This window comes from Homo sapiens, chromosome 22, assembly GCF_000001405.40.
Source record: "Homo sapiens chromosome 22, GRCh38.p14 Primary Assembly".
In the NCBI taxonomy this organism is placed as follows: domain Eukaryota; kingdom Metazoa; phylum Chordata; class Mammalia; order Primates; family Hominidae; genus Homo; species Homo sapiens.
In genome coordinates, this window is record NC_000022.11 from 33,346,452 (window position 1) to 33,358,850 (window position 12,399).

The 12,399-nt window shown below is 41.5% G+C and overlaps 1 protein-coding gene across 26 annotated transcripts in view; it reads right to left on the minus strand.

Annotated features, from left to right (window-relative positions):
* Window positions 1-12,399, minus strand: part of LARGE1 (LARGE xylosyl- and glucuronyltransferase 1) — an 856,162-nt gene that overhangs the window by 279,789 nt on the left and 563,974 nt on the right. The window lies entirely within an intron of this gene.

Below are 12,399 nucleotides of genomic sequence, written 5' to 3' on the forward strand. Positions count from 1 at the left end.
GCCGCCACGCCTGGCTATGTTTTGTATTTTTAGTAGAGACGAGGTTTCGCCATGTTGTCCAGTCTGGTCTCAAACTCCTGACCTCAGTTGATCTGCCCACCTCGGCCTCCTAAAGTGCTGGGATTACAGGCATGAGCCTCCGCGCCTGGCCTCCTACCTTCTTTTCTACCAATGCCAGCTCATCCTTCATGGCTGAGCTCAAATGCACATGTTCTGCAAAGCTTTTCCTGAACACTCACATTGACACCTCCTTGTGTGTCTCCCCCTCCACCCCATTCTTCCTAACAGAACACTAACTTTGTTTGTAGTTGCAATGTCCCCTGCCCCTGTGAATGGATCATGACCCAAGATCCAAGCCAATCATGATGATCCAAGTCTCTGATTTCCCAGACTACCTTGCAGCCAGGGGTGGCCACGTGACCTAGGAATGCCCAAAAAGTTACATAGGGAAGCATTCGATTTCCTAATAAAAAGGTTCACATATGGCTAGTGTCCTCTTCTCACTTCACTCACCTTTCTATCGTAAACAGAGATGTGATGACTAGAACCATGACAGCCATCTTGTGACCATGAGAGGTCAACACATTGCTCTCCTATGAGCCAGTGTCTGTGTTTGCTTACTCTAGAGTTCTCAGGTAAGAAATTCAAACCCCCTACTTTATTTTAAGCCACTGCATATTGAGTTTTCTGATTCTCATTGTAAGCATTCCTAACATAACACCCTAGGCAATTGCTAGGTCCTTCTTCAGTGCTCTACAGGCTCTTGCAGGTAGCTCTATTAGAGAACTCATTGCATGCTTCTTGTAATTATTTATTTACATGCCTGCACCTGGCAGCATTGGGATGTGAATTTCCAGGCTGGTAAAGAACTTGACTTATTATTCTTTTGGAGTGCCACAGTGCTTGGCACGCAGTTAGTATTCAGTAGCTGCCCTTTGGTTCAAGAATGGAAATCATGATGATGACATTCTCAATAATCCTCACATTTTGTCTGTCTACAGTAAATCAGTGATAAAAGCTCTACTAATGTGGGATTTGGAATGGAGAAACATATTCCCCTTTTCTTTGTCTAAGGGACAAAGAGCTTGTCATTTTTTCTTGAAGGAGTTTAAGCTCCCGCTGTTATCCCCTTGTTTGGATTTTCAAAGAGAAGGACAATATTTTCACAAGTCCTTTTCCTTGTCATCTTCGGGATTATGACACATGAGAGAAAAGGAGGAGCAGACAAACCTACAAGCCAGACCCAGCTCCAGCTCTGAGCTGCACTTAGTTGCTATGTAACCTGCACCTAGTTGCCTAATATCACAGAGACAGCCCCTCATCTGTAGAAGGGGTGTTTGAACCTAAGTACTTTGCAAAGAACCACAAGTACTTTGCAAAGTTGTGGTCAATATCAGGACAGATGAAATGATGGAGATAAAGGTATATTGCATGTGTTCATTCAGTTATAAAAGACATCTGGTTTAGACTTCATGAAAGAGTCACCTTACCAATGAAGAAGGCTGGATGAAAACAGAACCTCTATGGGGGAAGGAGGAGTAAGAAACAAGATTTTAAATATGGGGCTGCAGATTGTCACACAACCTGAGGGGCAAGGACAGGGAAGGTACAGACAACACAGCCCAGAGAGGAAGCCAGGCCAAGGGCAGGTCCTCCTGGCTAGACTTCAAGGAGTGACCCGAAAAGGGGACTATTCTGAAACACAGGCACTTTAAATTGGGTTTAAAGTACTGGGCAGATGGGAGGTGGAGGTTGCGATGAGCCAAGATTGCTCCACTGCACCCCAGCCTGGGCAACAGAGTGAGACTCTGTCCCCGCTCCCCCACCCACCCCCCCCCAAAAAAAAAGTACTAGGCAGAGATCAAGAGTGCTGTTGGGCAGGGGCAAGGCACTGATCTGGTAAGACTTAGGTTCAAACCATTGCCTTTTCTGTTACTCCAAACTACCTACTATATTTGAACCTCTATTTTCCAACCTCTTAAAATAAAATAATAATACCTGCTGCATAGGATCAATGAAACAAAAGCTGTAATGGCATTGTAGTAGGTAATTTTATGTGTCAACTTGACTGGATCATGGTGTGCCCTGATATTTGGTGAAACAATTATTTCTAGGTGTGTTTGTGAGGGTGTTTGCAAATGAGATTAGCATCTGAATCAGTGGACTCAGCAAAGCAAATGGCTCTTCCCAGTACAGGGAGCCATCGTCCAATCCATTGAGGCCCTGATAGAACAAAAAACTGAGGAAGGAGAAATTTGCTTTTTGTTTTTTTTTTTGGCTCACTATTTGAGCTGGGACATCAGTCTTCTCCTCCTTTCAGACTGGAACCGATATGGTTTGGCTGTGTCCCCACCCAAATCTCATCTTGAATTGTAGTGCCCATAATCTCCAGGTGTTGTGGGAGGGGCTTGGTGGGAGGTAATTTAGTCATCGGGGTGGGTTTTTCCTGTGCTGTTCTCTTGATTATGAATAAGTCTCACAAAATCTGATGGTTTTATAAAGAGCAGTTTCCCTGCACATGCCCTCTTGCCTGCCGCCATGTAAGACATGCTTTTGCTCCTCCTTCGTCTTCTGCCATGATTGTGAGGCCTCCACCTAGCTAGGTGGAACTGTGAGTCCATTAAACCTCTTTTTCTTTATAAATCACCCAGTCTCAGATATTTCTTCATAGAAGTATGAAGATGGACGAATACAGGGATTTAACCATCAGCTTCCTTGGTTCTCAGGCCTTCAGACTCAGATTGAATTATAACACTGGCTTTCCTGGGAATCCAGCTTGTAGATGGCAGATGGTGGGCCTTCTCTGCCTCCATAACCCATGGGTCAATTCTCATAATTAGTATCTTCAGATACATATACATTCTATTTCCTATTGGTTCTGTTTCTCTGGAGAATCTAATATAGGTGTTCACCATGGAGCCTGCAGCAGATCCATGCTCAGTGCTTGTGATGTGAATCAAGTCTGTGGAATATACACGCTCCATTCCCACATGATTCTCTCTGAGGGAGGCTCAGCACTAGCTAAAGTGACACTGTCCAACATCCCGGACTGCTGGATCCTTCAATGCAAGAGCTGTGTTCTATCCAACTTTGCATGCAAAAGGAGGCTTGGTCAATGTTTGTTGACTCCCCATGGATTGTATCTCAGCTTTTTTATGCTCCCCATGAGCTGCTGAAGCTTCCCTTTCATCCCCCTTCCTTTTCCTTTCCAATTCCTGACAATTATCAGGTACTGCTATTAAATAAAAATTAAATAAAAATGGTGCCCTTTATACCAAGACATCTCTTTCAGCCATGGAAGTTTTGCCACAGTGCAGTCTAGGGTCCTGGTACTCATAACTCTTTGGCTCCTGTCACACAGATTCCTATTGCCTTTTGGTTTTTAGGAGTCTCAGCCAAAAAAGAAAAGAAAAATTTCTTCCCAGACAAAAACACATCATTATCCAGGAAAGGGGAAGAAAAGAGACCCAACTCATTGATGACTTAGTCCTCTCACTTGGAAAATGTAGACACTTAGGCCAATGCATGAATCCCAGGCCTTGTCTTATATCCTATCATTGCTTATTCTGTTCTCTGTAACATTTCTTATTTTTCCCTGCCCAAGGAGGTAGAGGCTAAGGAGGGGATAAAAGGACAACAGGAAAATGAAGACTTTTCACAATACTCAGGGCTGGGAAGGTCATGAATCCATGAGACAATTCAGCTGTATTTTCTCTAATGTTCATCATGTTCAATGTGTTGGGTTCCTTTATGCTATAAAATGGGGGTAAAAACCAATTTGAACTGGATTCTGTTACATGCAAAGAATTCCTGATGCTGTCTTGATAGCAGGACATGAAAAAAGATGCAAACAGTGTTAAGTGTCCTCAATGACTGCTGCCTTTATGCGACTTCCCTGCAGACAACCCACACAAGACCAGGAGTGATAACCAGCCCGTATTCTTCCTGTCTCTATGGAATTAATTACTAAGACTGTATTCACATTTTAGCCTCCCCACAGTGTCCTCCTCGGGGGTGTGACTGGAGGACAGGCAGGCTAGAAGGAAGCAGATCCCACCTCTAGAGGTTGGCATGGGATCCTTAGCTGAGGAATTTGACCAAGGTGGGTGGAGGAGCAGCTGGCTTGAGTCCCGTGGGATGTTGCTAACTTGGCCGAATTTCAGTCATGCCCTTGGGGGTGGGCACCGTAGGATTCGCTGCTTGGAAACCCTGGGAGAGGCAGCTGTGCTTCCTGGTTCCCAGCAGGCACCTTCCGTGAGGCCCACTATTGCTCTTTTGTCTGCCCCGCATCACCGCCCTTTGCAGAAGTAGATCAGGCCTTCTTCCCATGACTCTAATGGGGCTGTCAGTCATGCCTGACCAGCCAGAAGCCCAGACACGGACTCCAGCTGACCAGTGAGTCATTCCTGACCATTCCTAAGAACACAGGGATGGGTTCTTGCATGGATACCTGTCCCATGAAGGGTCAACAGAGTCCTTTTGAGGAGACATTAAGAGAAAAGGGGCTTCTCTCTTCAATTTGGGTTCATGAGTGCTAGTCACTCTTCCATTAGCCTTAGATTTCTTTATGTTTTCATTGCACGTTTTGCCTGAAATGACAATTGATCATTTGTTTTCTTGTGTGATAGCTGTATTCTGCACTAGAATGTAAGTTCAAGAAGAGCAAAGGCCTGCACTGTCTTGTTCACTATTGTGTAACCAGTGTCTAGCTCATAGCAAGTGTGCAATTAATATCTGTTGAATGACTAAGCTCTACCTACTGGCTGGAGGCCTCAGGAAGCCACCCTGCCATAACAGAGAAAAGCAAAGGCAGAGAGGGAGAGAGGGGAGAGGCTAAGTCATGTGAGCACCCATATGTAGCTGCATCAATGCAGAAGGCATGATATGGTGGCATGGCGCTCTCAAATATTGAGGTGTTCTGGGGTTTAAATGAATCTGGCAAAGTCTTCTGTCAACCAACCATACTATTACTTATTTTTAGTGCATTTCATAATATTATTTTATAATTACTAATATTGAATTAAAATAACCCTCACAAAATGAATAATGCCTTAAAGAAGAGTCCTGCATTATAACCCAAAGTATAAAATAAATGAGTATATATAGACATAAATTATTTTTAAAATAAATAAATATAAATGAGAAAAAGTGACCAATCTTTAATTACAGAGAAATTCTAATAATATATGTAGATACTACTACCCCCTTTGCGAGGAGATGGATCTTAATCCCTCCACTTCCATTGCAGGGTAGATATAATGACTCACTTTCAAAAAATAAAGTATCAAAGGGAAAATTAGAAACTTTTTTTTTTTTTTGAGACAGAGTCACCCAGGCTGGTGTGCAGTGGTGCAATCTTGGCTCACTGCAACCGCCTCCTGGGTTCAAGCGATTCTCCTGCCTCAGCCTCCCGAGTAGCTGGGATTACATGTGCGCGCCACCACACCCAGCTAATTTTTGTATCTTTAGTAGAGATGGGGCTTCACCATGTTGGCCAAGATGGTCTAGATCTCTTGCGCTCATAATCCACCCGCCTCAGCCTCCCAAAGTGCTGGGATTACAGGCGTGAGCCCCCAAGGCCTGGCAAAAATTAGTAACTTTATAGTGGAGAAACCTAGCAAACATTGCCTTTACTACATAAGAATGGCTAACATCCCTAGTAATGTTATATGTGGGCATCATGTACCTCCTGACACAATGTGAGGAGGAGGGCACTTCACATCTGTGATAGTCTTTCCAAAAATCTATCCCCTCAGTCTAATCGTGAGAAAGTATACTAGACAAACCAACTTAAGGGACATTTTAGAAACTACCTGACCAGTACTCCACAAAACTATTGAGGTCAGTCACGAAAAACCAGGAAAGACTGTGACATTATGACAGACCCAAGGAGACTAAGGAAATAAAGCTTAAATGGAAACATTGAGTGAAATACAATGAAAGCTTGAAGTTTACTTGAAAAGCAATATATTGATGTTGGTTTGTCAGTTTTGATGAATGTACAACTGTTAGAAGATGCTGGCCAGGCATGGTGGCTCATGCCTGTAATCCCAGCACTCTGGGAGGCCGAGGTGGGCAGATCACCTGAGGTCAGGAGTTTAAGACCAGCCTGGCCAACACGGTGAAACCCCATCTCTACTTAAAAAAAAATACAAAAATTAGCCAGGTGTGGTAGCAGGCGCCTGTAATCCCAGCTACTTGGGAGACTGAGGCAGGGAGAGACTTGCTTGAACTTGGGAGGTGGAGGTTGCAGTGAGCTGAGATCACACCACTGCACTCCAGCCTGGGCGACAGAGCAAGACTCCATTCCCCGACCCCCACCAAAAAAAAGATGTTAATGTGAGGGGAAATTGAAACCGAATGACAGATATATACAAACTCTTTATGCTACCTTTTAAACTTTTAAGTCTAACATCCTTCCAAATAAAAGTTTATAATTAAAAAAGGGAGTTCTACAAAGGAGCTACAGATTGAGAATACCAATAAGACAAGCTGATGTGAATAGCAAGAAAACAGCTGAGCTGACACTTCTGTTCCCAGTATAAGCTCTTCCTTAGCTACATTACAAAGTAGAGAAATGACTCCCTAATTGGATCTGACAAGAAACTGGCAAAAAATGTAAATTTTCAAGACTATTTGAAATATGAATTTACAACCACTATCATTCAGGAAGAACTTCAAACTGTGTATTATGCCTTGATATATTACTTAATGTTAGTACAAAGATGTGTGATTAGCAAGACATTTAAAAACAAAGCATTCAGAATATGCAGATGAAGTCACCATAATTTCTGGATGATGTTTAAAGTCTTGTGAAAGTCGGTCTTAAGCTTGACAATGTTTCACTGAACTCTGTGAAAAGAGGTTAGAAGTTGCTTTAGAGATTTCTTTCATCAGAATAAAGGACAATAAAGTCCAGTAAGGAGAATACTTGTTTTTCTTTTTTTCTTTTTTTTTTTTTGCCTTGGCAAAAATGGCTGTAAAAATACACAAAGATAATATGGTAACAAAATGAAGTAAGTTCCTTTGTCAGCAAATATTGCAGGAAGAGTCAGAGAAAACCACGCTGAAGGATGGAAGCAACTAGTATTAGACTGAATTACATGGGAGATTTGCTATGGAATTAAATCAAAGTACAGAGTACTGTGTGTAGGCTTACGCTACGTGATAGATTCTGTTTAGAGAATGAAAGACAGAAAGAATGACTTTTTTTGTGAGCACTAAAGGAAAGCTGTCCTGCAGAGTTATACACTGAGCAGTAAATTCCTACTTTAATGATAACGATATTTTATGAAAAGAGAGTATGTGGAATCATTAGAGGTACAGTGCTTTAACTGGAATAACAAAAGAATTATGGAGTAAGGTCACAGAGTCAGCACCATGCAATGAATTCCTTGACTCCATCATTGCTAAGCAAGCCTGCAACAGAGTACCTGAGGCCAGCAGGCACAAGCGCTGCTAGATGCCATTGATTTAGATAATTTTATAAAGGCAAGACTAAAAATAGCATTACAATTGTACAATACTTTCTAATGACATGAGAGGTGGCAATGAAAATCTGTAACACACAGCTTTGCTGGCTAACTCAAAGCAAAGGACATGTAAGAGATGGCACACGTGAAGAAAGGATGGTTGCTGGTAGTATTCTATCTCACACTTTTGAAAACACACACACACTTTAAATCTGACCCTTCGGTGGAAAGGTGACAAATGAGAAAGTAAATATTGTGCTTTCAGACAGAAACTCTGAAACAGGATAGAGCTTTTAGAAAATAAATGTTTGAAATTGTTTCCATCGTTATGGGATTGTGAGGCCAAGAAATGATGTTACCTATCAAAGCCCTCATTTCTATATACTTAGAAAACTTCAAAATAGATTTAACTTTGAAAATTAACTTGCAAATAAAAAAAATTACAGTCTTCACTTAAGGTTGATAAGTTCTTGGAGGCTGCAACTTCAAGTGAAATTATATACACTATAAAGAAATCAATTTACCTTGTTAGTTGATATAAACAAGAATTAAGTTTCTATGGCACATAGTGTGTTGTTTCACTGAAAAGTCACAGTTTCCGTTAACCTATCGATGACATTAAGTGAGGACTTATTGTATGGTGGGTTTTGAATGTGTTATCAAAATGCTAAAGAATATTTAATAAATTATCAAAAGCAAATGATGGTCATCAAGAGAGACTTAAATATAATAGCTGAATGCTACAAATATTTTTGTATGACTTTTGGATTAAACTGAAACAATGAGTATAAAATGTATTCAGCCAGCCAATGATGTACTTTTTTTCCATTTGGATCTGTGAATTTTAGGAGGGATCCTTTTTGCAGTCATAGCCATTAAATTCTAGTATTTGTATAACATGCCCTTAAAACTAAGACTATGAAACACTGTGTCACAAAGTACTAAACCAACATTTCAAAAATAATGAAGCACATTCAATAATATTGCTATGTTTAAACATATGAATACTTATGTTTTTCATAAGAGCAAAAGGGTTTATTATTACTAAATTAACTTAAAATTACTCAAACATATAATAAAATGAAACTTTTCTGTTTTATAGTGTATTCATGTACCACAGTAAAAATATGTTTGCATTGGAATAGGTCAGATAAGAAGTATTTTAGTACTGTGACCCATAGTTTAAATTCCAAGCTCCTTAGTACACAGCCTGAACTCTCTGCTTATCTCCTTGTTATTTCTGGACACCATGATCTTTTAGGCCCCTGTGTTCATTCGTACTATCCCTTTTTATGTAGCACCTTCATTTCTGACCTGGATACCTCTAAGCAATATTGCACAGTATTGTTCACATTATGTGGAAATTAGCAGTTGAAACTTCTGTATCCCCTGTTTGTAAGGCTCTTTCAGGGCAGGAATTATGATGAACTTGTCTCTATATCCTCAACTTCACTAAGTGTCTTCAAACCCTTGCATACAACGGGCACTCAATACTGGGTAGCTTGCTAGGCTGAAATGTGTTTTGCAGCCCTTTCCTCAAGGATAGTTTGGATCTTCAAATGTACACCTGGATATGCTACCTGCCTGTCCCCTTCGTGATAACTGGAAAATTAAACCTTTGTCTCTTGCTCACCTTGGTTACTCTTCTCTGATCACGGCCAAGTTATGAACCCATGATCCATTCAATTTATGGTCTTTTCCAGAATCTCAAAAGTAGATCTTCTAACTCCTCCTGGACCACCCTTTCTCTGCCTAGCCCTCCGGCTTTCTGAGGCCCAGTGTTAATATCATGCACCTGAGCCTTCTATAGGGGAGGCTCTCAGTTAGTGGCTCAATGTCCATGGTCGCCAAATACTGCTTTACAATGGCGCTTCCTTTGCTCAAAATTGTGTTCTTCTTAATAGAGCCAGTATTTATGTAAGGAAGTGTGGGCTTCTAAGGAACTTGTCCTACCAGGCATTCTGTAATCAAAGGGGAGTCTTTCCTGTGTGTTGATATAAAATAGATGTGGGAAATGCTGGGGATCAACAAAATCAATCAGATTTTCTGGCTGCAGGACTTCCTAATACAGTATTTGGTATGTAGTACATAGAACTCCGCTCTCCCCATCCTCCTCCCCAGTTCCCCATTTTAAATAAGTCCAATTAACAGCTCTTAGAACTGTTTGGACATACACTCTGGAAAATGCTGTCATAGGGTAAAATTTCCAGAGACATCACTTTGCTTCTAGGAATCTTGTTGTTTCTAGCAATAACTGCATTGGAAGTTTATCAGCTATGTGTAAAAAGCCAATGAAGGACAACTGAAATCAATAAAACTCAAAAGAGTTCAGTTCTGAAAATTATCCAGGAGCAAAAAATGGATGAGTGCTGAGGGAAGACAACAGACTCAAGCTTAAGTCACCCAAGGTCCCGTCTGCTTAGCCTGCCATTCTCTGGCATGATCCAAGGACACATGATGTGAAGGTCAGGTACTATCCCAGCTGTGCCACCAACCGGTGTTTAACCTTAGGCAAGGTGTTTAACCTTTGTGTGTCTCTATTTCCCTTCTTTGAAATAAGAGAGTTGGCCGGGCGTGGTGGCTCATGCCTGTAATCCCAGCACTTTGGGAGGCTGAGGTGGGCGGATCACTTGAAGTCAGGAGTTTGACGCCAGCCTGGCCAACGTGGTAAGACCCATCTCTACTAAAAATACAAAAATTAACCAGCATGGTGGTGTGTGCCAGTAATCCCAGCTACTTGGGAGGCTGAGGCAGGAGAATTGCTTGAACCCAGGAGGCAGAGGTTGCAGTGAGCGGGGATCATGCCATTGCACTGTGCCTGGGCAATAGAGTGAGACTCCATATCAAAAAAGAAAAAGAAAAAAAGAAAAGAAAGAAAGAGAAGAGAAAACAAAAGAAACAAGACAGAACAGAGGAGTAGGAAGAGTGCCTTTTTATGTGTCTGCCCACTAGCCAAATGGAAACTATTCCCAGAGAATGCTTATACACTGTTGGTGGGAATGGAAATTAGTATCTCTATGGAAAACAGCATGGAGATTTCTCAAAGAACTAAAAACAGAGCTACCATTCAATCTCACAATCCTACTACTCAGTATCTACCCAAAGGAAAAGAAATCATTGTAACAATAAGATAGCTATACTTGTGTGTTCACTGCAGCACTATTCACAATAGCAAAGATACAGAGTCAGCCTAAGTGTCCATCAATGGCTTAACGTAGAAAGAAAATGTGGAGTGTAGGTATATATATATGAATACTATTCAGCCATGAAAAGGAATGAAAACATGGATAGGACTGGAGGCCTTATTTTAAGTGAAATACTCAGAAACAGAAAGCTAAATAACTACATGTTCTCATTTTAAGTGGGAGCTAAATAGTGAGGGCACATGGACAAAGAGCATGGAATAACAGACATTGGAGACTCTGAAGGCTGAGAGGGTGGGAGAGGGGAGATGGATGAGTAATTACGTAATGGGTACAATGTACATTATTTTGGGTGATGGTTATCCTAAAAGCCCCGACTTCATCACTATGTAATATATCCATGTAACAAAACTGCACTTGTACCACTTAAATTTATACAAAAAAGATGCCTGGCCCAGTGGCTCATACCTGTAATCCCAGCACTTTGGGAGGCTGAGTCAGGCAGATCACCTGAGGTCGGGAGTTTGAGACCAGCCTGACCAACATGGAGAAACCCCATCTCTACCAAAAATACAAAATTAGCCAGGCATGGTGGCCCATGCCTGTAATCCCAGCTACTTGGGAGGCTGAGGAAGGAGAATCGCTTCAACCCGGGAGGCAGAGGTTGAGGGGGGCCGAGATTGCACCATTGCACTCCAGCCCACGCAATAAGAGTGAAACTGTCGCAAAAAAGAAAAAAAAATTATACAAAAAAGAATAATAGGTTTACTACAATGTCTCAAAGCCTTGTACTGCTTTATGTATTGTCCCTTTTAATCTTTCCATCTCTTCTATAAAGTCATGAGGATGACTTTAGACTCATGAGGAAAAGTTCCTAGTTTTTCAGATGAAAAGACTTGGTTAGGGTGAGTTAAAGAACTCAGTGACAGCCTGGCCCAGAGTGGGTGCTCTGCCATGTCTGCTGGGGGAATGAGAGATCCCGCATACAAGCCACAGGGCAATAGTCCCAAAGGACAGGGTACTTAAACAGGAGCCAGCTGCCTCATATTTAATCCTGAGGACTCCTTGAGTTTACTGGTCACAGCAGTGCACAAAGAGATCATAAAACACTGACAGCCCTTGGACGCAGGTCATACAATGAAAGAAATGAAACCGGCACTGGCCTGAAGTGAAAGAGAAGTCTGACTAGAAGGTAGTAATTCGAGATTTTAGATCTTCTCCCCCAAAACCAACTGTTTTTTTTTCTTCCTTGATCCATCCCAATCCTCCAAAATCAACCTTAACATTCATCATTCTTATTACCCTGTGTTTTCCCTGCCTCATTTTTCACTGTAGTCTGCTTAGCTGTGACATGTTCAGTATGCTGATATATGGTAGCCCCTCATCTTCCCCCAAAGATGTAGAAACTGACACAACTCTAACTATTATAAAATGTTTCAATGCTTGAGTTATGGGCTACTTTTTTTATGCAAATGCTATAAATTGCCCCTAAGAAGATATATCATTTCCTCCTATGGCTGGCATCTTTTCTCTTGGTTTTTCTCTTCTGCTTTAGGATTTTTCTTTTAGGTGTACTCAATTACCAATTTATAAATGGACTGGGGTCTAAAATTCAGCCTCTGAGTCTGTTGTTTAAAATTCAAATGTCCTGGCCGGGTGCAGTGGCTCACAGCACTTTGGGAGGCCGAGCCGGGTGGATCATGAGGTCAGGAGTTTGAGACCACCCTGGCTAACACAGTGAAAATCCATCTCTACTTAAAATACAACAACAACAACAAAAAATT